Genomic DNA, 26,794 nt, shown 5'->3' on the forward strand with positions numbered 1-26,794 from the left:
GGCTGCAGTGCAGTGGTGCAATCATAGCTCACTGTAACCTTGAACTCCTAGACTCAAGCCATCCTCCTGTCTCAGCCTCCCGAGCAGCTGGGAATACAGGCATGCACCACCACATCTGGCCTTTTTTTTTTTTTTTTAAGAAATGGAGTGGGAATCTTTTTTATTATTATTATTTTATTTATTTATTATTATTTTTTTTTGAGACGGAGTCTCATTCTGTTGCCCAGGCTGGAATGCAATGGTGTGATCTCAGCTCACTGCAACCTCTGCCTCCCAAGTTCAAGCGATTCTCCTGCCTCAGCCTCCCACGTAGCTGGGACTACAGACGTGTACCACCATGCCTGACTAATTTTTTGTATTTTTAGTAGAGACGGGGTTTCACCATGTTAGCCGGGATGGTCTCAATCTCCTGACCTTGTGATCGGCCCACCTCAGCCTTCCAAAGTGCTGGGATTACAGGCGTGAGCCACTGTGCCCGGCCTGTAGTGGGAATCTTAATGATTATCATGAGGATGAGAGAGAGAGAAAAGGAATGCCCATCATTCTCAACTTGGAATGGCATGACAGATGAGCAGATTCCCATGGCTCAGAGCAATGGAAAAGGATGGAGAGAAGACCTATTGCATTAAGTTAAGGTGGTCCTGGGTCTCTCTTGGGTAGGGTTCTAATAGAATAATGGGGCTAGAGCCATATTTTGAGAAGTTAAGAAGAGAATAGTAGAGATTTCTATTTTTCTCTCTCTTTTCTTCCCAGGATAAGCATTAAGGTTCCCACACAAGTTGCATTTCTGATACAAATGCCCTACTTGCCATTTAAAACTTAATCCCCATAACTTGCTATAACTTGGGACCAGTACCAAGCTGATATTGTATCGTTAATCCTCCCCTTGGCAACAAAGTTAAAAAAAACAGCAAATTGGCCAGGTGCGGTGGCTCGCACCTGTAGTACCAACACTTTGGGAGGCCAAGGTGGGAGGACCACCTGAGTTCAGGAGTTTAAGACCAGACTGGCCAACATGGTAAAACCCTGTCTCTACTAAAAATATATAAATTAGCTGGGTGTGGTGGCACAAACCTGTGATCTCAGCTACTCAGGAGGCTGAGGCAGGAGAATCCGGGAGGCAGAGGTTGCAGTGAGCCAAGATTGTGCCACTGCACTTCAGCCTGGGCAACAGAGCAAGACTCCATTTCAAAGAAAAAAAGAAAAAGAAAAAGCAAATTGCAAAGCATTGTTTATTGTATGATCCTATTTTTGTTTAAAAGAGTACATGAGGCCGGGCGCAGTGGCTCACACTTGTAATCCCAGCAGTTTGGGAGGCCAAGGCAGGCAGATTACATGAGGCCAGGAGTTAAGAGACCAGCCTGGCCAACATAGTGAAACCCTGTGTCTACTAAAAATACAAAAATTAGCTGGGCATGGTGGCAGGTGACTGTAGTCCCAGCTACTTGGGAGTCTGAGGCAGGAGAATCGCTTGAACCTGGGAGATGGAGGTTTCAGTGAGCTGAGATCGCGCCACTGCACTCCAGCCTGGGTGACAGAGCAAGACTCTGTCTCAGAAAAAAAATAAAAAATAAAAGAAATAAAAGGGTATATGGGGCTGAGTGCAGTGGCTCATGCCTGTAATCCCAGCACTTTGAGAGGCCAAGGCAGGAGGATCACTTGAGCCCAGGAGTTAGAGACCAGCCTGTGCAACATAGTGAGATGCCATCTCTACTAAAAAAAAAAAAAAAAAAAAAAAAAAAAAAAAAAAAAATGCTTTTTAAAGAGTATATATGTGTTTATATGTAGATATGTATCTTTGTATATTATAAACAAAGAAAAGCACCCGGAGGAAGATATATATATCAAATTACAATAGCAGTTTTACTGGTACATGCATATATCACTTTAAATATATGTAGTTTATTATACATTACTCTCCCCCAGCCATAATAAATTATACCAGAGATTATCTCTGATGGTCAGATTATAGTATATTACTTAAAATTCTTTTGGCTGCAAATGACAGAAACTCAGCTGAAACTTCTAAGGCATTAACTGAATTGTCTGGATACTTCTTTAGGCATAGGTGAATCCAGGGACTCAAATTATGTCATTAGGAATCTGCCTCTGCATCTCTTGGATATGCTGGTTTTTTTTATTAGCTTCATTCTCAGGCGGTTCCAGGCCTGCTTCTCATTGGCACAGCATTCAAATGGGAAGAGAGCAGCTCTTTTTCCAAGGGTATCAGCAAAGTCCCGGGGCTGACTCGGGTCATGGTTCACCCCTAAAGTGGTAAATCACTGTGACTGGGGGAAGCCCTATGTTGATTGGCAAGGCCAAGGTCATGTGAACCAAGAGAAGAACAAAGTCACTTTCAAGGTCATCTACGGAAGCCAGTGAACTGCAAGAAGGGGCTGAGCAGTTCCCCAAAGGAAACCCAGGGCCCCTTTGGCAGAAGAGGAGACACAGAACCACAGATGTCCACTCCAAGTGGGCCTCCAGTCTGGGTCATAGATTTCTGTAATGACTGCATTGTTTATAATTAACATACATTTCTCTTGAAATGGCAGGGGGAAAATAAGATTCCCCTCCCCTTTTTGTTCTTTGAGACACTCTGTTGCCCAGGCTGGAGTGCAGTGGCGCAGTCATGGCTCACTGCAGCTTCAACTTCCAAGACTCAGGCAGTCCTCCCCCTTCAGCCCCCGCCAAGTAGCTGGGACCACAGGCATGCACCACCCAGGCCTGGCTAATTTTTAAATTATTTGTAGAGATAAGGTCTCCCTAGGTTACCCAGGTTAGTCTGAAACTCCTGGGCTCAAGCAATCCTCTCGCCTCAGCCTCCCAAAGTGCTAGTTTTACAGGCATGAGCCACTGTGCCCGACCAAGATCCCCTTTTAAACAACTGATTTGGGTTGCCTCTGGTTATGACAATTGAGATAACTAAATAGTGAGTGTTGAGAAAACAGTAGAGCCCAAATCATGTCAGAACCCTTGATCTTAGAGGGCATGGGAGGAACGAACAGTAGCGAGAGGCGGGAATTGACCTTCTCCTTTTCATAGATGATTAAAGGTGTGTATGCCTAAGACCCATGGGGCCATCAGACAGTCTCTGGGGCTCCAGGTCGCTGGAGCAATGCGCCTGGGGTGTTGGGCCTTCGTCAAGGTCAGCCTCCGCCTCTCAGCCTGCTGCGCCGGTGTGTGCTGCACCTGCACTCTCAGTCAGTGCTTCCCTGCATTCCGATATCACACTGCTCTGTTTCTTCATTTCAGGGTTACGCTAAGGACATGGTGACAGACTTTGATGAGAAACATGATGAGTATTTAATATTGCTTCAGCAGAGGAACCGGTAAGAGAAGCCACTCGACGGCAGCCCTTGATATTAGCGAAGTAAAAATCTATTTAGATTTATTAACAGCAGGCAGGCCCTGCCTCACATAGGAATGGGATGCAGAGTCCCCCTCCACTCAGAGGCTTAGAATATTATCTGCAACCCCAGCTCCTATTTCTCCATTCACTGATTTAATTGCATTTTTTGACTGAGCTGTAGCAAACTGCTCGATGTGTAAGTACCGCCTCTTCCCTCCCTGCTCCTATTCTGGGAGAAGATAAGGTTGTCAAAAAAGGCTTGGATTTGGCAGGGCTTGTGCAAGAACCACCTGAAGAGCCCAGTCTGTGATTGTGCAGGCTTTGACAGTCCCTGAAATCTGAGCCTATAATCATGTCGTGTTATGCAAAAATGGAGTCATTTTACATTGGCGTTTGAAGTTGGTCGATAAGTCATTTGAAGTTAAAGTAGGACTGATTTTGTCTCTGGAATGCTTGTTCTTGAAAAAGCTTGCAGTAGGTCCAGTGTGTAGCGATCAAGGTCAAAACATCATGGTCTGGTTTGAAAGAGGCATCATTGCCTTGGTTCCTTTGTAGGGCTGAGGAAGTTCATTTTCAGTTCACCGCAGTTTGTCTTCAGGCCTCAAACTTTGCAATAAGCTGGGGATTTGCAAATTCAGATGCTGGGAGTGGCCAGGCAGTGAGTGGAGCTGGCTCAGTGGAACAGTGGATACCTGAGCTCCTGTCTCCAAGCTGCTCAGCCCAGGCCAGCTGTCTGTGAGACCACAGTTCCCCCAGGTCCTGATCCTCCCAAGTCTGCCAGAGAAGCTGGAGATCTGCATTTGGCCTGTGAAATCTCCTGAGTTTTAAAATGTTGGTAATGAATTCAAGTGAAAGCACAAAGCAAACAGAAAAACAACGCAGGCCCACAGAACTGGTGGGGGGAAGGGGAAGAAAGGGGAATGGGTACGAATGTGGGCCTCTGTGTTATCGGAGTGGGCTTAGGGTCTTGCAGATAACAGAGTCTGGGGTAGGGAGGTGTCATCCTGCATGTGACTTCAGCTCTGGTCTCACTGACTGGACTCAGTGTTATCAACAGGGGCCTTGGTGGCATGTTGCATGGGACAAGTTTTTGTAATCTCACGAATTGCAGGAGTTTAGCATCTCTGCCCACCAGCCCCTTTACTAAATTTCAGTAAGACCCTAAATTCCATCTATGACAGCACCCACCCACTTTCCAGATACCTACCTACTGAGGCAGCACCACCCCTGGTAGAGATCTTCGGAACAGACAATCTCTCCAGGGCCAGCCAGAAACGCCACAACAGTGTCCTCTGTGCCCAGCAGCTCTGTGCTCATCCCCCTCCATCCCCACATCAACCTCAAACTAGAATGGCGAAGGCTTGTGCTGATTAGACCGACGTGGGTTTCCATCATCATTAATGCCACAGAGCAGGATGTTTTTATTCAATCTCTGGCAGACTGGATGGTGCCACTGAACACCTGGGTGATTGTTTAATCATCTGCATGTGACTTGTCTGGGGAGAGGCTGTCACAGTTCCTTATGAACAAATTGTTTCTCATTAATTGGGGGATCAATAAGTGTGCAATCAAAGAGGCACTGGCCAATAGTATAAATGAGAATTTCCAGAGACAAGGTTATAGCACAAAGACAATTAAAAGCTATATCAAAACTGAGTTGCCATAAAATTTGGGGGGACGTGTTGTCACCAAGATGGAGCTGTCGTGATGACAGGAAATTAGAAGGTAGAGCTGGAAAGAAACACCTTCCAGTGGAGACTTGTGAAGAATGGGAATCCCCCTGAGCCATCGTCGGTGAAATCTCAAAGGCACCTTTTGCAGAGTGCCAGCCATATGCCCGGCACCTCAACCCATCATTTTACTTTGTCTGCACACTACCCAATGGGGCAGAGTAACTGCACCCATTTTACAGGCAAGGAAGTGGAGGCTCCGAGCAGTGAGCAACTTGCCCGAGGTCTCACAGCCAGAAAGTGGTGGAGCCGGGCTGGACTCTACGTTTTGCTTGATGTTGTCATAAACAATCAAGAGGAGAAAAAAAAACCTGCCGGATTGCCAGTGGCCCTATGTTAAGTGAGGAGGGGTTTTGTGGGAAGAACTGCAATTTACTTGGAAATCTAGTTATAGGACCAGATAGAAAACTAGCCTCTGAGCTTTACGCTGGACATTGAGGGAGATGAAAACCCAGGCTGCTTATCTGGGTTGTCTGTAACCCGAGAAGGGGGGATGTAATCGTTGGAGTGAGTTCTGAGCAGAGATCTGCCTAGAACACAGCTTCCCATAAGAAGCAGGGCAACATTTTTCTTTTATTCATTTAGCAGGATTTCACTGAGTACCTTCTAAGTGCCTGGCATTGCCATTAATGCAAAGGGAAGCATTGTGATAAGGAAGACACAGACTGTATTAGTATGTTTTGGCTGTAAGAGACAGAAACTCAAAGTAAATGGACTTAAGCAGCTAGGAAACACTGGCTCATGGAATTAAGAAATCCAACATTGAGCTGGGCATGGTGGCTTCTGCTTGTAACCCCAACTATGCAGGAGGCTAAGGCAGGAGGATCGCTTGAGCCCAGAAGTTCAAAACCCCGTCTCTAAAATATTTTTTTTAAATAGCCAGGTGTGGTGGCATCCACCTATAGTTCTAGCTACTCACTACTTAGGAGGCTGAGGTGGGAGGATCACTTGAGTCTAGGAATTCAAGACTGCAGTGAGCTATGATTATGCCACTGCACTCCAGGCTGGGTGATAGAGTGAGACACTGTCTCTAAAAAAAAAAAGAAATTCATCATGATACTCTTGGCCTCAGGCATAGCTACATCCAAGTGTTTAGATTATGTAATCAAAATCGACTATTCTCCATTTTCTATACCCTCGTTTTCCCATATTAGAGCCATTCTCAGGCAGGTACTTCACTTGCAGTGGCCAAGACAGCCAGGAAAAGCCCCTACGTACATCCTACCTAGAAGCATTAGGTATCTTTCCTAATGCTTCCAGCAAAAGTGCTGAGGAAGGTTCCCATTGGCCTGGCATGGGCCCAATTCCATCCCAAGCTACGTTAGGCCATTTTTGCATTACTATAAAGTAACAGCTGAGACTGGGTAATTTATAAAGAGAAAGGTTTCATTGGCTCACGATTCTGCAGGCTGTACAGGAAGCATGGTGCCGCCATCTGCTTGGCTTCTGGGGAGGCCTCAGGGAGCTTGTATTCATGGCTGAAGGCAAAGTGAAAGCAGGCACATCACATGTTGAGAGCAGGAGAGAGAGGGTGGGGGGGAGGTGCCACACACTTGTAAATGGCCAGATCTTGGGAGAACTCACTATCGCAAGGACAACATCAAGGGGATGCTGCTAAACCATTCATGAGAACTCTGCCCCCATGATTCAGTCACCTCCCACCAGGTCCTACCTCGACACTAGGGATTACAATCCAGCATGAGATTTAGAGGGGTCATACATCCTAACTATATACAAGCCAATCACTCCCTGTGTCTGGTGAGATGGCGCAGTCTACTGGCCGTTCCTTGGCCACCCCACTACATTGTGCAGTGGAGTCAGTTTCACCCGGTGGAGTCAGTTTCATGGAGTCAAAGAAGGAATGGTGCTGTACCCAGTGGAGATCTGAGGGGCTCTGTTTGGAAGATGGGGGAGATTCCTGGCCAGGCAGAGAGAGCAGGTGTCCACCACACAGCTCTTACCCTTGAAGAACTCCCCAGTAGTGGCAGGGTGAGCGCAAGGCCACCTATAACTATGACAAAAGAAGCAGAAAGTGATTGTGTGCTCCAGGAGAAGACTGGGGGCAGGGAGTAGGGGGACAGAGTCTGGAGATGTGACAGCCTTGCCTCACTCCTGCAGAAACCCTGCCAGCTGCCTGTCCCAGTGGACTCTGAGTGATTCTTGTCACTCAACCTCATGAAAGAGGTAATCATGCCCGACAAGATTCATAAAAGGGCAGGCGGAGTGATCAAAGGGCTGAGTGATGAAGATCGACTGAGAAGATGAGGGCCCTTGTATCTGAAGAGGTGACAGCAGAGAGGGGCTGTAATATACACCTCTAGACTGCAGGGGGTAGACCCAGATTTGCTCTCCAGGTCCAAGAATCCAGCAATGCTGTGATCATTTGGTCCTTGAGAAAGGTCATTCAAGGGAAACTTACAGGAAAACTTGCCCACAAAAGTGCTGGGCCTGCAGCCCCAGGAGAAGATCCAGGCAGAAAGAAGGAAGGAGAGAACCAGCATCACTGGGGGCCTCACCTGGACCTTTGTCTGAGCCAGCGCTTTAACCCAGTCTATCCTTTTGTCCTCATGGCAGCCCAGGGAGGTGCCGGCATCTTTAGTCTCCTGTTACAGAAGAGGAAACAGACCCCAGGGAGGTTTAGGAACTTGCTCAAGGTCATGCAAGCTGGGGAAATGGTGGAGTCTCTGGCAATGAGCTCCGTCCTCCACACTCACCTCCTCCACCTGCACAGATGCTCTTATGTGCAGCTCTGTGGAGCATCCTAGGTGACCTACAGGTTCTGGGGAGGAATGGCAGGCTTCTTTTTACACCCCTGCCCTCCCTGTCTTCACCCTTCAAGACTGGACTCAAATGCCACCCCCTCCAAGGAGCCCCCAGTTGCGAGCCAGTGCTCTCTCCTCTGACCTCTTCTTGCTCAGAGCCTCTGTGATGCCTGGTGCTAGAGGCAAGAAACAGCAGGAAGGAGCAGGGGAGAGCACAAGCACTGCAGCCCCACGGGCCAGAACTCAAATCCAGGTTGGAGGTTTCCTTGGCTCTCTGGCCTTGGGCAAGTTCATTTCTAAAACAGGCCAACAGAACCTCAGTCCCAGGATCACTGAAGGGTGAAGTGAGACAAGGCCCTTGAAGGCCCATAGCAAGCCCCCTACCCAACCCAGTATTCATCATCATTATCATCATCATCATTATCATCATTCAGTTATTGACTGATTGATTGATTGATTGATTGAGATGGGGGTCTCACTCTGTTGCCTAGGTTGGAGTGCATTGGTGTGATCATAGCTCACTGCACTCTCCAACCCCTGGACTCAAGCGATCCTCTTGCCTCAGATTCCCTAGTAGCTGGGCCTACATGTGCGGGCCACCACATCCAGCTAATTTTTTTAATGTTTATTATTATTATCATCCTTTCGATATAAATGCCTTCTCCCCAAATTGACATCCAGGTAATTCTTGAATGGCTGATCCTTGGGGAAACCCCTCAGGCGACCTGAGATGACCGAGATCTGGAGGAACCATGTGGTTCATCTATAGTGCCATGGCAGCCACACCACTCAGAGACCACTCAGTCATAAGCCTAGTCACAATTAAGCCGCTGCCCTCTGAGAACACAGTGACCTGCCCTTTGTGTTCAAAGGGCCCTTGTGTTCAAAGGGTCCTCATTGCCAGAGGCTCTGCCATTTCCCCAGCTTGCATGACCTTGAGCAAGTCCCTAAACCTCCCTGGGGTCTGTTTCCTCTTCTGTAACAGGAGACTAAAGATGCCGGCACCTCCCTGGGCTGCCATGAGGACAAAAGGATAGACTGGGTTAAAGCTCTGGCTCAGACAAAGGTCCAGGTGAGGCCCCCAGTGATGCTGGTTCTCTCCTTCCTTCTTTCTGCCTGGATCTTCTCCTGGGGCTGCAGGCCCAGCACTTTTGTGGGCAAGTTTTCCTGTAAGTTTCCCTTTGAAACTTTGTGTTCAAAGGGCCCTTGTGTTCACTGGGTCCTCCTTGCCATCTAGGTCCCTGCCCCGGTGGCCCACGAGGAGGAGACTCCTCCCCGAACCACCCCAGCCCCAGCCATGTCAGGTCCCTAGACTGCCTCATCACACCCTGTACTCCCCACTCACTCCTTCACTTCCTCATCTGTGCAGGTGATCCCAAAGGCCAACATGGGCATAAAATGGAAATGATGGGTGTGGTGTGCATCACGTGAATAGTAGCTGTGAGCACTAGGGTATTCATCCATGTCTCCTGCCCCAACTTGAGATCCTTGGGGTCACTTGTTCCAGAAACAGGCATTGAGGCCAGACGCAGTGGCTCATGCCTGTAATCCCAGGACTTTGGGAAGCCAAGGTGGGTGGATCCACTGAGCCTAGGAGTTTGAGACCAGCCTGGACAACACAGGGAGACCCTGTCTCTACAAAAAAAAAATACAAAAATTAGCCGGGTGTGGTGGCACGCACCTGTAGTCCCTGCTACTCGAGAGGCTGAGGTGGGAGGATTGCTTGAGCCCAGGAGATCAAGGCTGCAGTGAGCTGTGATCACACCACTACACTCCAGCCTGGGCACCAGAGCAAGACCCGGGAAAAAAAGAAAAGAAAGAAATAGCCATTGAGAGCTTTCCTCATTCAGCAGGCACCATGGCCCATAGGACAGAGGCTCAGAGTCCAGTGCGGGGGAAGAAGAATAAACAAATACACAGATACATCCATAATATAACATTAGCCAGTGATAGTGTGCCATTGGAAAAAGTTGAACCGGCAAGCCAGTAGAGGGTGGCAGGGCAGCAGGAGGGAAGAGTTCGATTTTAGATAGGGCAGGAGAGGAATCTGATTTATCTGAGTCCCCTCTGCCCAGGACAGCTTTTTATGCAAAGTAGGCTATCAATTTTTAAAAAACACTTTTCTTTGATGCCACCTGGATATTACTGATGCACTCCATTGCAGTAGGGGAGTTCCTTTAGCAATTCCTTTCCAGTCTGAATAATTATCTCCTAATTTATCAGTTTCATAAATCTACATTTTCATAAATCATTCTGCCTAAGGAGGGGCACCCGTGGACTGCCAGTCTCAGATCCTGGATAGCTGGATGCCGTGACTGTTAACGTGGCATCAGAAGGCAGGGAGAGAAGTTGAGGCAGGCTGTCTGCCTGGGTGATCAGATTCCCCACTCTGCCCCGCCACAGGCCTCCCAGGACCTAGGCTCCTGCTCCCTCCCTGGAGACTGACGGTGCCTACATTGTCCCTTGATTGTTTGCTCTTGCAAGCGTAGCTATTGCTGTGTTTGGAAATTGTCTCTTAGTTACTTGTGTTTTTCTTCCGTTTTATGTTGTTGCCCAACAATCAGGCATCTCCCAGGCTTCCAAGGCTGGCAAGAGATAAGCAGCCTGTAATAAATGTTCCTGCCACAATTGGTGAAAAGATGAATGTATCAGCTGCTAAAGAAACATTTAAAAAATAAACAAAGAAATCACCCACAATGCCACCACCTTCCCTCAACAACTCATTTCATGTTACATTTATCACCTTCCACACTGGGTCCACAAACACACAGTTTTCCAACATTACCTTTACTACATATGCCTTTTTCTTTTCATTTCATTTCTTTTCTTTTTTCTTTCTTTCTTTTTTTTTTTGGAGACAAGGTCTCTGTCTGTCACCCGGGCTGGAGTGCAGTGGCATGATCATGTCTCACTACAGCCTCAACCTCCCCAGTTCAAGCCATCCTCCTGCCCCAGCCTCCCAAGTAGCTAGAACCACAGGTGCACGCTACCACGCCCAGTTAATTTTTATATTTTTTATAGAGACGGGGTTTCACCATGTTGCCCAGGCTAATCTCAGAACGCCTGGGCTCAAGCAGTCCAGTCTGCCTGCCCCAGCCTCCCAAAGTGCTGGGATTACAGGCATGAGCCACTGTGCTCTGGCCTCTGTATCATTTTTATTCTGCCTTTTTCATCACCACTCCCCCGCCCCCCACTGAACAGATCACAGTCCCCCATGTTTCTATAGAGTCTTCATAATGATAACATCTGTGTAATAGCAGCTTCCACTTCTCTGGTGTTGGACATTTGGGTTGCTTCCAGAGTTTTGTTATTACTGAACACTGACTATCTTCTTGCCCAGAGTTCATATGCTTAGGAACAATTTGCCGGAATGTGCTTACTGGGCAAAGACCAAACATATGGCATTTTCTATATTTTCATACTACTTCTGAGAAGGTTCTATGAATTACCAGCGATGTCTAAGTTTGCCAGTTTCAACATCATCTTGCTAGCTTTACAAGTTGTCTTCGTTTTGGTGTAGACTCTGGAGCCAAATTGCCTAAGTTTGCATTCTACCCCTGCCACATACTATAATAGCTATGTGACCTTGGGCAAGTTCTTTAACCTTTCTATGCCTTATACTCCTTATCTACTAAATGGAGATAATAAAAGTGATTATGGCCAGGCACAGTGGCTCACGCCTGTAATCCCAACACTCTGGGAGGCCGAAGTGGGCAGATGGTCAGGAGTTTAAGACCAGCCTGGCCAACATGGTGAAACCCTGTCTCTACTAAAAACACACGCAAAAAAAAAAAATTAGCTAGGTGTGGTGGCACATGCCTGTAGTCCAAGCTACCTGGGAGGCTGAGGTAGGAGAATCAGAATCGCTTGAACCCCAGGAGGTGGAGGTTGCAGTGAGCCGAGATCGCACCACTGCACTCCAGCCTGGGTGGCAGTGCGAGACTCCGTCTCAAAAAAAAAAAAAAAAGTGGTTACCCTGTAGGATTATTGTGAAGAGTAACTTCTTCATATCGTTGATCATCATTATTCTCTGACTTTCTGTCTGTGAATTTGTGTCATCATTAAAACTGATCTGTAACCCCACAGTCAATACTTGCTGCATTTTTGCGGTCACTTGCAGACACGTGCAGAGAGGCAACATCTTTAGTCCCCCGATACACACGTTCCCAGCTGATATAGAACAAGGCAATTCTCTGCCTCTCATACTATAAACAAGTGTCCTTTTTGCCTTGTACGTAGTGCCATGTTTTTCACATTTTTGTGCTTTCTGCTGGTGATTTCGTTGCTTAAACTGGCCTTATACATAGTGCAGAAATGCTGTTCAGTGTTCCTAAGCATGAGGCTGTGATATGCCTTATGAAGAAAATACATATGTTAGGAAGCTTTGTTCAGGCATGAGTGATAGTGCTTTTGGCTGTGAGTTTGGTGTGAATGAATCAACGGCGTAATAAGGCATCTTTAAACAGAAACACACATACACAAGGTTCTGTGTTGATTGGTTCATGAAAATGTGAACAAAGACTCACAGGCACCTGACCCTGTATTTCCTCTAGAAGCAGTAGTTCCAAATTCTCTAATTCAGAATTCACGGTGACTTTCTAGACCGCTCGTACTGCGAATAATGAGAATCGACTTTAGGTTTTTAGAACAGAGTTTAGCATACAGTATGCACCTTTTATGTGATTGCTATTATTTTTTAAAATTTAAATTTTGCTAATTTGATTGGCACTTATTTAATTACTGAAGAAGAGGCACACTTGTTGCTAGGTTGGCTGGTTGTCTGTATAAATGTTGTTGATGTAGGAGTGTCTAAAGCTGTGTATAAAATGCAGGCGAGTCTGGCGTCCAATGGAAGCAGTTCTCTGGGGGCTGAAGAAGACACTGTACTCTGCATATGGCAGTGTGACATCAGGATTGGGTAAAGGACCAGGCCCAAGGTGTAAGGATGGGCTTCAGTGAAAGCTAAATTAGGGACCTGGCAACACTCCTGCCTTTTAGCCAAAAGATGTGATAATCCTATTGTTAACCTTGAACCAACGCCTGCATTGATATATTTTTTAACTGCATTAGAATATGACATGATGGCCTTTGAAATATCAGGGGTGAGTGTTTTGAGAACACATCTATTCACTGAAGCAAAACGTTAGCCCACCTGGTCTGACGAAAGCTGTTTTCTGATTTGTAAATGGGTGGTATGAAATCTCTCTCACAAAGCCTGAGAGCCTAAAAACCCCTTTTTGTTACACATCAAACAAAGTTTCACACAAAGTGAAATTGCATAAAATTGGGATCTTTTCAGAAAGCCCAGGCTGTATGATAGCAGTGTGTAAACACACGCCTCCTCTCTGCCTTGGCCAGCACGGGGCATGAACTGGGTGTGTTCTTTTTCGCTAATGTGTATTTGAGCCTCAGAATGAGAGCTGCAGAAACTTCCCTGTAGGGCCCCAAACTGTCTGCCCCTCGTGGCTTCTCTAAGTGGGTAATGGGCCTGTCAGAGGCTGTTTGTAGACAAACAGCTGGGCACACGCCCCCTGGGCTCTGATTAGAGACGCTTCACTGTGGGAACAGCAGTTCACTCCTGGCTTGGGGGTACAGCAGCCCAGACTCTCAAATGATGAGGAGGAACAACCCACCGTTTCTCTTTCAGGATATTAAAGCATTTGAAAAGCAAGGACCCCGTGCAATTGAGGCTGGAGCACTTGGAGCAAGGTTTCTCTGTCTATGTCAACGGTGCCAATTCGGAGCTGAAATCATCACCGCGGAAAGCTATTCACTCTGACTTCTCCAGAAGTGCCTCCCACACGGAGGGGACACACGGTGAGCACAGGCCCTCCAGGCTGAGTCTCAGCTCTGTTAATCAAAATTAATTAGGGGCAGGGTGCAGTGGCTCACACCTGTAATCACATCACTTTGGGAGGCTGAGGCGGGTGGATCACTTGAGGCCAAGAGTTCCAGACCAGCCTGGGCAACATGGTGAAACCCTATCTCTACTAAAAATACGAAAATTAGCCAGGCATGATGGCATGCACCTGTAGTCCCAGCTACTGAGGAGGCCGAGGCACAAGAATCACTTAAACCTGGGAGGCGGAGGTTGCAGTGAGCCGAAATCGCACCACTGCACTCCAGCATGGGTGACAGAGCGAGACTCTGTCAAAAAAAAAAAAAAAAAAATAGGGATTATGGAACCACATCCTGTGCATGTGAACAACGAACACAAGTTAACTACACCCGCATGGCCAGAAAGAGAGCATAAGAATGAGAAAGAGAAATCCTGTTTTATTCCTGTTTAAACTAGTCTTGGCCTCTACTACCCCAGAGCAAAGGCAGCCAAAGCAGTAAATTTCTAGCTTTTACATTTCCTGGGTCTTAAGTCAGTACTTTAAGGAAATGTCTAGGGAAATTTTGGATTATATCTGATTTTTCACTTAGTATGTTTTAACTTTAGTACCTAACCCCTGTGTAATATTTGATTTTACCACTCATTTCTGTATTTAGTTAATCTATACTGTGCATACTTTAAATGGATTTCACGTGCCCTATAAGAAAACCACAGGAAGCTTGTGTGTAATAGAAAAATTCCCAACCCAGCCTAGCATAGACACGGAAAATGATTGGGCAGTTGAATGAATGAAACAGCAGAGCACGTGGAGTCAGGATACCATGGGGAAGCCACTTAGTCTCTCTGTGCCTTTGTTTGCTCATCTTTAAAATGGGACTCAGTTAGACATGGTGGCTCAGGCCTGTAATCCCAGCACTTTGGGAGGCCAAGGTGGGCAGATCGTTTGAGCTCAGGAGTTAGAGGCCAGCCTGGGCAACATAGTGAGACCCTGTATCTGCAAAAAATACAAAAGTAGCTGGGCATGGTGGTGCATGCCTGTAGTCTCACCTACTCAGGAGGCTGAGGCAGGAGGACTGACTGGGCCCGGGAAGTCAAGGTTGCAATGAGCTATGACTATGCCACTGTACTCCAGCCTGGGTGACAGAGCAAGACCCTGTTTCAAAATAAATAAATAAATATTTAAAAAACAATAATAAAATGGGACTGGCGAGACTGCTTATCCCAAGTAGCTGTCAGAATGCCTTTAAGGTAGGCTGCCTTGTTGGAGAGGCCAGTGTGCTACCAAGCAAGTTACAAGAAGATCTGGAATGAGGCAGACTGGATTTGAATGAACCCTGTTCTGCCACTTTCTGGCTTTGAGACCTTAGGCAGTTAGGACCTCTCTGACCCTCAGTTTCCTCTTGCATAAAATGGGAATAATTATGCCCACCTTGCAGGCTTGCTGGGAAGATTAAATGATGTAAGAAATGTAAGCTGTCTGTCACACAGTAACTGATTTGTGTTATTCTAATCTATGGCCTCACAGACATGGTAAGATCCCAAGCCATTAATATATAGTAAAAGTCAAAACAACAACAAAAGGGCAAGAAGAGAAAATGATTCCTGAAATGGTTTCCTAGGAGAGCCACTACAGTTGAACTCAGAGTGTAGCTTGAGCTCCCCAGCCCCCAGGGCAAAGAGGGAAACCAGTGGCTCTCCTAGTTTTCACAGTGGAGGCAGACCTGCTGCTGCTAGTAAGGAGAATTCAGCTTTTCCTGGTCCAGGTTTCAGGGAGGAACAGATAACAGGATTCTGTGTACTTGGAACACCAGCAGTACCTTCATTCATTCATTCATTCATTCAGCAAAGAGATTCACCCTCTACACTCTTTTACACAAATGGTGACCTCTTGTACCTACTGTCCTGAACCTTGTCTCTGTAGCTTAGAGACTCTTCTCTGTATATACAGACCTGCCTGATCCGGCCATATATTATACATATTATTCCATGGCATGGATATATATACTGGAACTTATTTACCCATTCCTTTTTTGCTCAACATTTAGCTTGTTTTCTGATGTCTTGTTGCCACAACCACGCTGTAGTCAATGTCCTCATACACAAGACTTTGGGCACACTGATACGCATTTTAGACATGAGTTACAAACCAACCCAGTACTGTGAGCTTGTCATCAGTGCCTCACCAAGTCTCCTTCCCTCGTCTCTGGTGCAGATTATGGACGAAGAACTCTGTTTCGAGAAGCTGAAGAAGCCTTAAGACGCAGTTCACGGACAGCCCCCAGTAAAGTCCAGCGCCGAGGATGGCACCAGGTCTGGAGACTGTGGCCCCAGCCCACGCTTTAGAATACAGAGTGTGGGTGGCTGTGGGAATAGAAATACAATCAGAGCATTTAAAACCCCCATGGGCCAGGCACAGTGGCTCCTTTATGCAATCCCAGCATTTTGGGAGGGTGAGGTGGGAGGATCACTTTGAGCCCAGAAGTTCGAGACCAGCTTGGGCAACAAAGTGAGACTTCATCTCTACTAAAAATAAAAATAAAAAATTCGCCAGGTGTGGCAGCACGTACCTCTAGTCCCAGCTACTCAGGAGGCTGAGGTGGGAGGATTGCATGAGCCCAGAAGTTTAAGCCCGCAGTGAGCTACAGTTGCACCACTGCACTCCAGCCTGGGCAACAGAGCAAGAGCCTGTCTAAAAAAAAAAAAAAAAACACCCTATGGGGAGTAGGTGGGTCTGGCTGGGCATGGTAGTGTGCCCTTTCTGCATGTGGAACTGACCTTTGGAGAGACCGCTCTGCTGCACGGCCCTCCCCTTTGGATGTGGCCACTCCAGCCCCACTTGGGGGTATAGGAAGGTCAGACTCAGAGTCCCATCATGATGACTCATTCATTCAGCTATTTTTTTATTGAGTACCCACTATGTGCCAGGCACAGTTCTGGATGTCAGGGATACAGTGGGTGCATATGACAAAGCCCCTGCCCCATGGAACTGAGATGCCATTTTGGGTTGCAGCTGGTGTGCTGATGTCAGGAGCTTGCATTTTGGAGCATCTACCCCAGGTACCACACGTAGGCTCAGCTCCCATGTAACTCGTCTCCTTTGCCCTCCCAGCAGAACTGTAGAGTATGTTCCAATATTGTCCCTCTTTATAAGGAGCTGAAGAGATGGAGGTTCAGAAAAGTTCAGTGAGTTTTCCAAGGTCAACAGCTAAGAAGTGGCAGAATCAAGAGTCAGTCTTAGATCTTTTGCCCCAAATTCTGTGTTCTTGCTCATATAGTTCTGGATATTTTACCTCATAGTCACTCATACCTTACCGGGGACCAGCAGGTCCCAGCCCCGTCAAATGAAGAATGACGAGGTTCACACACTTGGAAAGGAAAGCTTTATTTCTCAGAAAGGGTGGCAGCCTCCCTCCCGGGTGGCCATTCCGGCAGGCTAGGAAACACAGCCTCAGGCCAGAAGCCAGAAAACTGCACTTTGAAGTTCAGAGGGATAAGACGGATTTATGCTGAATAGGTGGCGCAATATACATATTCAGTAAGCTGTAGGAGGAGTTATGAATATTTATGAAAGGAGAAATATGCGCATGTGCAGTTGAGCTTCATGCCTCTCCATGGATCCCATCGTCAAAAAATGGCGGCATTAGCAGGATCTGAGGGTGGAGGTTTTGGCCTTCTGATGTCAAAAGGCGAATCGGGAGACACGGAAACCCTCACTGTGCATCCTCTATAGAGGGGTCAGAACCACTCCATGGTCAGTGGTCCCTTACCAGGAAGAAATGCTGGTCAGTTGTGTAGTAACCACAGAAGGGAGGGGCAGCAGGCAGGCTGGTTGGGAGGGGCAGCAGGCTGTTGGTTGATACCAGTGGTGGAGTCTTTGAAAAGGGCTGATTTCTTTCTTTTTTTTTTTTCTTTTTTTGAGACAGAGTCTCGCTCTGTCACCCTGGGTGGAGTGCAGTGGTGTGATCTTGGCTCACTGCAACCTCTGCCTCCCGGTTTCAAGCGATTTTCCTGCCTCAGCCTCCCAAGTAGCTGGGATTACAGGTGCCTGCCACCACACTCGGCTGATTTTGTATTTTTAATAGAGACTGGGTTTCACCATGTTGGCCAGGGTGGTCTCGAACTCCTGACCTCAGGTGATCCGCCCGCCTCAACCTGCCAAAGTGCTGGGATTACAGGCATGAGCCACCGCGCCCGGCCGAAAAGGGCTGGTTTCTTTTTAACCCTTAGAAAAGAAAGCCTCCTGGCGGTTAAGGAGGGAGGGGATATAATGAGGCATGTCTGGCCTCCCGTCCCATCATTGCTGGGAACTCAGTTGTAAGGTTTCTCTGGGGTCCCCTTGGCCAAGAAGGGGTTCATTCAGTTGGCTGGGATCTTGAGATTTTCTTTTTATTTCTCAGCCCTGACTGTACATTTAAATGGCCTAGGGAGGTTTTAAAATATAGATGCTCAGGCCCCACCCCCGGAGATTCTGACTTGCTGAGGCTTAAGCAGTGTTATTTTTTAAATTACTGTAATTTTTTCTCTTTAAAATTTATTTTTGTACTATATTTTTTATTTTTTTATATAAAATAAAAATTTAAATACATTTTTATTTATTTTTATATATTTTTTATTTTTTTTTTACTTATTTTTATTCACTATATTACCCAGGCTAGTCTTGAACTTCTGGCCTCAAGTGATCCTCCTGCCTCGGCCTCCCAAAGTGCTGAGATTTCAGGCATGAGCCTCCACGTCAGGCCTGTTGTTATTTTTTAACTTGTGTTCACCAATATTGGGAACTACTACCACATACGATTTCACACTGTACTAAATGTATGGGTCTATAGTTAAATGCTTTCATACCCTTTATCAGCCCACCCACAATAATCCTGTAGGTCAGAAAATGTCCTCATTGTGCTACTGAAGAAATCAAGGCCAAGAGAGGTAAGGTGACTTCCTTAGAGTTGCATAGCTACTAAGGAAGAGGGCAGGCTGGGATTTGAACTCTGGGCTGTGGTTATAAACCCAGTGATCTTTCTGCCTCCCCACAGGGGCATCTTCAAGTCATTGATTAACTGGGGAAGGGTGTCCCTGCCTGATCTCAGTGCTGAGGAGCAAGGCCTGGAGGACACACAGCCTGGAGGCCTCCTTTTGTCCCCTGCAATGAATATTAATTTGTTGCTAATGAGGCCTTTCTTCACTTCTCACTTAAGACAGTTCTTCTACTTGTTTTGAGAGCCTTCTATTATCAGGAGCCATATTTGTGTCTTAGATTGTGGCTTAATAGCTGGCCCTAGAGTCTGTGCAATTTAAAAAACTTGGCCTAAGATTAATTAGCATCCTCCTCAGTCTCTCCTTGTGGTCCCACACTTCACAGGGCCTAATCATAGCTAATTTCCTGATTTCCTGATGCCTCGAGGGCTGTAATTGTCCTTCTACACTGTATCAGTCAGGGGTCAGTCAGTGCCTAACAGCAGAGACCACTCAGGCTATTTTAAGCAGAAACAAATGCAGTGCAGGGAGTCGGGTGCTTACGAAGTCCTTGGGCTAGCATGAGGAGGGGACTCTGGGCTGGGCCTCTAGGAATGGTGCCTCAAAAGCATGGCCACTTAGCCTGGGCCTGCCAGGAGAGCGGCTGCCTAGGACACCATTGGGAAGGTGGGGTATCAGCATCAGGAAGGTGTCACCTTAGCTGCAATCCAGGAATCAGGGAGTTACTGCCCCAGCTGTTGGCCTCAGAGTGACTCCATGCCTGCTGGGACAGCGCTATGAAGACCCTGCCCCGCAGCCTGGCTAGCCAGTCAGGAACATTATGGAAGAACTCCATGCCCTGTGCTTAGCACTGAAACAGCCAACATCTATCCCCCTCCTCTCCTCACCTCACTTCTGCTTTCCCTGGCTCGTGTGAGGCCATCTGATTGGCTGAACCTAAATCACACCCAGAACCCAAGCCAAAATGTAACCATAATAGGTCCATTGCACGATGCTGGCAAGTCTATACACATAGACCCTGGGTTTCAGCAGAGAGAGAGATTTAATTGTAGGGCCGCCAAACGAGGAGATGGAAGGAAACCTCAAATCTGTCTCCCGGAGGAGTTTGGGGCCAGTGTTTTTAAGGGTTTTGGAGTAGGCTGATGTGTGGAGATCATTGATTGGTGGAAGAGTGCAGGGGGAAGTCACGGGACAGGGAGATGAAGAAGCTGTGTTCTCACGCAGATCCCGTTCTTCTGTGGGGGGCCTTCAAACTGGCTAGCGTGAGTTGTTTTGCTGGAATTTAAGATCTGAAAAACATCTTAAGCAATTCTTAAACAAAAGCCTTAATGATTCTACAGTCAGAAATCTATAAGGAATAATGGGAATGCTAATGGTCAGTATCCAGTGAATTTCAGTTACAAGGAAGTGGGTCAAAGTGCAGTGATTAATGCTGAATTATAACTATATTCTGTGAGAATTCTTGTTAACCCTGTGAGGACAGCTTTAGAAAGGGAGTCTGGGAAATGCAGTATTTGGCTTTCTGGCCTCTACCCCACAGAAAGGCTCCCCAGGAGGAGTGTGGGATGGGTACCGAGAGCCGGCCCCCTCCAGTCTAGAGCATGGACTCTGCTCCACACACCCAGGCTTTTGGGAACCAACCTTAAAGATAGACACAAACCAGGGAGCATTCAAAAGTGGTGAATGAACTACATGTGTCATGAATGAAATCATCTGTTAATTTAACAGACATGTATTGATACCCAGCAGGGCCCAGGCACTGTGCAAGGCTCTAGGGTTCAAAAAAAAAAAAAATTCAAGAAGGCTCAGTTCCTGCCTTTGAAGCTCGGGCTGTGAAGACATGGGGACTGCTTAACTGGGAGGAGGGTGTGACACCTGACTTCAAATACATGGATGGCGGGCCTGGCGGGGTCCAGAAGTTAACCACTTGAAGCCTGTGGGTCAAACTTGCCCCCAGATAATGGTTGTTGGGCTCATACAGCTTTTAAAAGACTTTTCGAAGCTTGCCAACATTTAAATTAACAAGATTTTATATTAAAAATATATCTAGCCAGGTGCAATGGCTCATGCCTCTAATCCTAGCACTTTGGGAGGCCGAGGAAGGAGGATCACCTGAGCTCAGGAGTTCAAGACCACCCCAGGCAACATAGTGAGTCCCATCTCTACTAAAAATAAAAAAATTAGCCAGGCATAGTAGCGCACACCTCTAGTCCCAGCTACTGAGGAGGCTGAGACAGTTAGGATCGCTTGAAGCCAGGAGTTCAAGGGTGCAGTGAGCCATGACCGCACCACTGCACTCTAGCCTGGGGGACAGAGCAAGACCCTATCTCAAAATCAAAAATCTAGATCTCTTCTTCCCTGGAAAAAATGGAAAAGTCTGGCCCCCACGCTGGGCCATCCTCCTCCCCACTAGGCAGCCAGCAGCAGGAGCCAAGTCCAGCTACTGCCTTTGGATAGGGCATGAGCTTTCCTGTTTGCCAAAGTCCCCACCACTCCCCAGAGCTTCAGTGGTGAGGCTGAGTGGTAGCTGTGGTTTATTATCAGATTTAGGCTATGATTTCTCTTATCTCGTGTTTCCATTTCCCGTCTGGTTCTTTGGGGCATTTGAATTTGTAGCCCCTGGAGAGTGGAAGGAGTAGGCTTTGGACTGCTCACTGGCTGTGTGTCCTGGAGCTGGCTGTGTAACCTCTCTGAGCTATGTACGTGTAACCTCTGTGAGCTGTGTGCCCTGGAGCTGGCTGTGTAACCTCTCTGAGCTGTGTGCCCTGGAGCTCTCTGTGTAACCTCTCTGAGCTGTGTGTCTTGGAGCTGGCCATGTGACCTCTCTGAGCTGTGTGCCCCAGAGCTGGCTGAGTAACCTCTCTGAGCTGTGTGTCTCGGAGCTGGCTGTGTAGCCTCTCTGAGCTGTGCACCCCAGACCTGGCCATGTAACCTCTGTGAGCTGTGTGCTCTGGAGCTGGCCGTGTAACCACTCTGAGCTTTGGTTTCATCATCAATGAAACCTCCCAGGGCTGCTGGAGGGGAGCATGTGCAGCGTGCATTACAGGTGGTCTCAGCAGGGGCTGCCTGCTGCTTCAGGTGGGAACAGGTGACAGACAAGTCCAGAGGAATGGCTAAGAGCATAGACCCTGGAACCTTCCAGCAGCCCCAGTGCAAAGCCTTGGCTCCGCCTCCTGCCAGCTGCACAGTGGCTAAGACGCTTAACCCCTTGGTGCCTGCGCTCTCATTTGTCATGTGAGGTTGGTAATGGTAATTAATGAGGGCAATTAATGAGGATCAGTGGGGTCTGTGTTTGGAGAGAAGCTGAAGCAGTGCCTGGCACAGGAGAAATAGTGAATGGTGCTGCCTGTTGTTGTTTTAATCACAGAGGGGCAGATGGGGAGGGCAGCTCAGCCTGGAGGCCTCAGGGCTCTTCACTCTAGTATGTTCCTTTGCTCACTCATACTTTACTTCTTTCATTCCGTGCTCATGTATTGAGCACATACTCAGTTTTGGCACTTACAGATGCCGGGTTCCAAGCAATAAGTGAGGCCAGCCCTGCTCTCCTGGAGCTCATGTTGATGGGGAGCGGGTGGGGAGGTTGGGAAGGCAAAGGACCAAAGGCAAGCAAGGGAGTCGGAAGACAGTGCTACGAAGGAAGGACAGAGGACAGCAGCCTGAAAGAGAAGCTGTCGGGGGAGCGCTCCTTCAGCGAAGGTGGGCAGCACAGCCTCCCAAGGGGCCGCATCGCAGCCAGGGCCTGAGAGTTACCTGGAGCCAGCCCCGGAAAGATCTGTGGCTGGGGGAGGCTTTCAGGTGAGGGGACAGTGAGAGCAGCGGGCACTGGGCACAGGCTGAGAGGAGGCAGGGCGATCAGGACAGGGTGGCAGAAAGGGTGGGGATGAGGGTGTCAGGGTTGCAAGTAGGAAGAACCGGCCATGCAGGGCCTAGAAGACCACAGGAGGAAGTTTGGATTTCAATCTAAATGTGAGAATTTCCAAGAGGGTTGAAACAGTAGAGCGCCACGTTTGGGTTCATATTTTGGGTTCATGTGTGCAGAAAGGACCGCCCATGGGAGCAAGGGGCTACAGGAGGACCAGGAAGCCTTTGAAGCAGGGCTACGTCTCTCTCCACCAACCTTCCCCAGCCCCCGTCCTTGCACTTCTGTTCCCTGTCCCTGAGCTGCCGCCAACTCGTAGCTTCAGTGTTCCCCTGATCCATCGTGCCTTCTCCACACACGGTTTTACACTCCCTCCATATTTGTTAGTTGAAAGTTTCCAAGACAGAGACAGTCTGAATCTCTCAGCTCATCCCTTTCTCAGGGCATGGCCTGGGCTGCTGCTGCTTAGCCTGGATGAGGCACCCCCTCCTACCTCCATCGGCTATGACTAGAGCCCCTCAGAGACCAGTTCATTTGGTGCAAACCCTGCCTGCCCTGGCCACATGAGCAGGAACCATGAGTCCTATAGCTTCTTGTCAAGAAGGCTGGAGGTAGCAGAGTGAATAGACTGGGGGTGCCAGCTATACCATTATTACCGTCATGAGGAAGACAGGCTGGATTGGTTTGCTCTGGCTCCAAGAAGTGGAGTTAAGTCCAAAGTTTCTCCATGGTAGACAGTCCATGGAGACAGAGTCTTGGGTCCATGGGATGGAGAGGAAGACAATCTTTCTATCCTAACCCTTTTGGATGGGCTCCTGCCATGCTTAGGGGCAGCCAAGGTAGGCAGAGTGGTCAAGGCAGCCAAGTCCCCAGTGGCCAGTGGCCAGTTCTCAAAAGCTGCTCCACCAAGAGAGGGACCACAGTCCTCTCCCGGTCTTGGGGTTTCACTTGTAGGGCCATGCCAACCAGGAGGTATCAGTGGGGCCACACGGTCGCCTTGTGTATTCACATTGGTCAGCAGGGGACACCGTGGTGGGATGCAGTGGTCCCAGTGCACAGTGAGCACCTGCAGTCCCAGCCTTATTCACAGTCCACACAGCCCCCTTGCCTCCCCATTCACCCTCTGTACTCTCCTCCTGGCTGTCTTGCTGGATTTTTTTTTTTTTTTTTTTTTGAGACAGGTTCTTGCTATGTAGCCCACACTGGTCTTGAACTCCCGGGCTCATGCGATCCACCCACCTTGGCCTCCTAAAGTGCTGGGATTAACAGACGTGAGCCACTGCGCCCAGCCCTGAAACTCTCTTGAATCACACACCCTGTTTCTACTGACCAAGCCCAATCCATTCACCGCCTCCAGGAGAACAGGTTTCTCTTCTTACGGTCTCACCCAACAATAAGAAAGCACATTTGGGTAGAGCTGCCCTGACAGGAGGGGCTGCGTCAGGTACACTGGCCTCCAGATCCCTTGACCAGAAGGTCACAGAGTCATCCCAACTCTGGCTCCTGGCCAAGAAGCCGATGACTTCCACCTGTAAAACCCTTCCCAAGCCCCTCAGATTCCTGGGGGTTTGGGGAGGATCATGGCGATGGCTGTGTTGGGCTCCCGAGCTGCCACCTTCCCTGTGGAATGGGCTGGTGGTGATGTATGGCCTCTTGTTCATACTGTCCTTTTCCCCCCACCACTTCTGGGCCTTAGATCTTTATGCTGCTATCTGTGGATTAAGATTTATGGCTTCCTCAGCCTTGTAATACTTGGGTGGACAGCGGCCTAATCAACAGAGCCGTCGTTTACCAAAATGCTGTCAGATTTGATGAACGTCATCGGCTCTTAGCATTAAATTGCTAGTGAAGGGATTGGCCTTCCAGCAATTTACTGTGGGGTGGGCGTTCCTTAAAGGTCTCTAAAGCAAGTTCATTGCAATTATTAAAGCAGAGGCTTTGCTCTCACTCAGCCACCATATCCTGTGTCCTGTTGTGGCCTGTGCAGCTTCAGCACCTTCAGAAAATCTCACAAGTAAAAATGGGAAGTGTTGGGGGCCCTGTCTCTTGTTATCTTCCTTCTGAGTTCTGAAACCCTTGCAGTGAGGACGACAAATGAAACAAGCCGTAAAGCATTGGCCTTTCCAGTGACCTTGCACAACACAGACTGTCAGAGTGGGGAGCACTGCTATTTCTAAGAGATCAGACAAATCAGGGATGAACACATCAAGTCAGCCGGACCTCCCAACCCTAGACCTACCTTTGTCAGTGTTTTAGAGCTCTCGTACCTCTAGAGGGAGCCATTTGCATACTGCACAACCCACACAACCATATGGGGCAGCCCCCAGCCTTGCTCTTTTTTTCTACTTGACAATAAGCTTTAATGCACACCTTTTAAAACAGTTTGCGAAGAGGGGTGGCAGATATGAACAAATAACTCTAGGCATGAACTGGGCTGAGTGTGGGCCAGGTATGAAATAAGCTGGCCTTGGGTTGCAAAAAGGAACATGGATTTGGGGATGTCACTGCTTTTAAATCCTCCTCCCCCATATGATTGATACTGCAAGGGTCTACCCAGGTCTGGGTGCTGCAAGTAGGCAAGAAAGAGCAGCCGCTTTGAAACACCCACTCAGGTACAGCAGCGTGCCAAGCGGGGAGCTAGCCAGGTGCACAGTCATCATCCCTTGCAAGGGCGTGGAGGTGGGAGGCAGGGAGCCATGCACGGCCTGGGGGGCTGGGTTGGAACCTGCCAGCCTGGGCTGCTCACTGGAGGTGAGCCTTCCGTGTGGGCAGGGCTGCTTTCAATCTCCTCCCAGTGGTGGCAGAGGAGCCTCCCTGGGGCTGGGGGCGGGAGAGCAGGCCAGATGGAGGGACTATTTATTCCCCTCTCCAGCACCCACTCAACATTAGAAACTCTTTCTGGACCACATTAATTTTGTCACATGTTGCTTCATAAACACATTCTCCCATTATGTGTGCTGTGTGACCTCCTTGAGGGCAGGGCATTGGTTTTTAATTTTTTTTTTTTTTTTTTGTATCTTCCTGTGTTTTCAGAACCTTGTATGCAGTCGGCGCTCAGTAAAAGCTTGCTGATTCAGTGCCTTAATGCCGACTGCAAACCTGGGTCCTGACACCTCTGCGAGGTGAGCAGTAGTGCTAAAGGGAAGACGGGAAAACCACAGACGAGAGAGAGGCCGGGCGCGGAGGCTCACGCATGTAATCCCAGCACTTTGGGGGGCCGAGATGGGTGGATCACCTGAGGTCAGGAGTTCGATACCAGCCTGGCTAACGTGCTGAAACCCTGTCTCTACTAAAAATACAAAAACATTAGCCGGACATGGTGGTGAATGTCTGTAATCCCAGCTACTCGGGAGGCCGAGGCAGGAGAATTGCCTGAACGCGGGAGGCAGAGGTTGCAGTGAGCTGAGATCGCGCCATTGCACTCCAGCCTGGGCGACAGAGTGAGGCTCTGTCTCAAAAAAAAAAAAAAGGAGAGAGAGAGACCTGGGCTTTCCTTGAACATTAGAGCTCTCTTTCATGCTTTCAGTTCAAATCCAAGGCTAGCAGAATTGTTCATCCCGATTCTTGGTTATCTTAAGTTCAGGCACGTTTGGGTCCAGGAGCTCAAACGATATAATGACCTATTCTTCATCTCTCAACCCCCCCTGTGCCCCATGTGGTACCAAGACAAGCCACCAGCAGCTGCCCACTTAGGTTCCGCCACCCTGCTACCACATCTCTTCCATGCCCCAGAACCAGTCACCCAATCACTGGGGGGACAGGGGAATCGCATGCTCTGATTGGCTAGGCCTGGGTCACGTGCTTCCACCCCTTGGGAGGACTCAGTGCCATGTGAACCTCTTAGGGCCCGGGCAGGAAGTGGGGAGCAAGACACCATCTCAAAAAGCGAAAACAGGGTGCTTTTACCAAACACAGGGGAGTATGTGCTGGACAGGCAGAAGCAACGGCTTCCACCACAAAGCCTTGTCGATCTCCTGATCTTATGCTATTGGAAATTGAATGTGCGTGCGTGTAAATGACCTGGGATACTGCTCAGGTTTACATTCTGATTCCCAAGGCAAAGGAGGGGCCTGGAATTCTGCATTTCTCACAAATTCCCAGGAGATACCAATGCTGCTGGTCCGTGGACCACACTTAGAGTAGCAGGGCCCTAGTCCAGGCCCCCTTTTTCTGGACAAAGGACTAGAAACCCATGGGGAGGCCAGGCCGCACCCTAGGCCCTGGCCGGTGCTGGTGAGTCAGGCAGCTCCTCAGGCCTGGGCCCCGTGCCCCGTGGTCCCTCCT

At 48.4% G+C, this 26,794-nt stretch overlaps 1 protein-coding gene across 17 annotated transcripts in view, besides 3 other annotated features; it reads left to right on the forward strand.

Annotated features, from left to right (window-relative positions):
* Nucleotides 1-26,794, forward strand: part of KATNIP (katanin interacting protein) — a 230,201-nt gene that overhangs the window by 65,029 nt on the left and 138,378 nt on the right. For 16 of the 17 annotated variants that reach the window (XM_005255201.4, XM_005255202.4, XM_011545775.3 and 13 more), the window contains 3 exons: nt 3,253-3,329; nt 13,489-13,658; nt 15,893-15,990. In XM_005255201.4, the coding sequence (XP_005255258.1) occupies nt 3,253-3,329; nt 13,489-13,658; nt 15,893-15,990 (345 nt within the window). The remainder of the gene's footprint in view (nt 1-3,252; nt 3,330-13,488; nt 13,659-15,892; nt 15,991-26,794) is intronic. The other variant, XM_047433844.1, reaches the window with a different exon arrangement.
* Nucleotides 18,481-19,167: an enhancer, noted in NCBI's record as "OCT4-NANOG-H3K27ac hESC enhancer chr16:27644974-27645660 (GRCh37/hg19 assembly coordinates)". NCBI's record gives its function as "activates a minimal SCP1, AML or CMV promoter by ChIP-STARR-seq in naive H9 embryonic stem cells {active_cell/tissue: H9 hESC(naive)}" and the evidence as "EXISTENCE:reporter gene assay evidence [ECO:0000049][PMID:30033119]".
* Nucleotides 21,648-22,148: an enhancer, noted in NCBI's record as "H3K4me1 hESC enhancer chr16:27648141-27648641 (GRCh37/hg19 assembly coordinates)". NCBI's record gives its function as "activates a minimal SCP1, AML or CMV promoter by ChIP-STARR-seq in naive H9 embryonic stem cells {active_cell/tissue: H9 hESC(naive)}" and the evidence as "EXISTENCE:reporter gene assay evidence [ECO:0000049][PMID:30033119]".
* Nucleotides 25,948-26,589: an enhancer, noted in NCBI's record as "H3K4me1 hESC enhancer chr16:27652441-27653082 (GRCh37/hg19 assembly coordinates)". NCBI's record gives its function as "activates a minimal SCP1, AML or CMV promoter by ChIP-STARR-seq in naive H9 embryonic stem cells {active_cell/tissue: H9 hESC(naive)}" and the evidence as "EXISTENCE:reporter gene assay evidence [ECO:0000049][PMID:30033119]".

The sequence above is a fragment of the Homo sapiens genome, chromosome 16 (genome assembly GCF_000001405.40).
Source record: "Homo sapiens chromosome 16, GRCh38.p14 Primary Assembly".
In the NCBI taxonomy this organism is placed as follows: domain Eukaryota; kingdom Metazoa; phylum Chordata; class Mammalia; order Primates; family Hominidae; genus Homo; species Homo sapiens.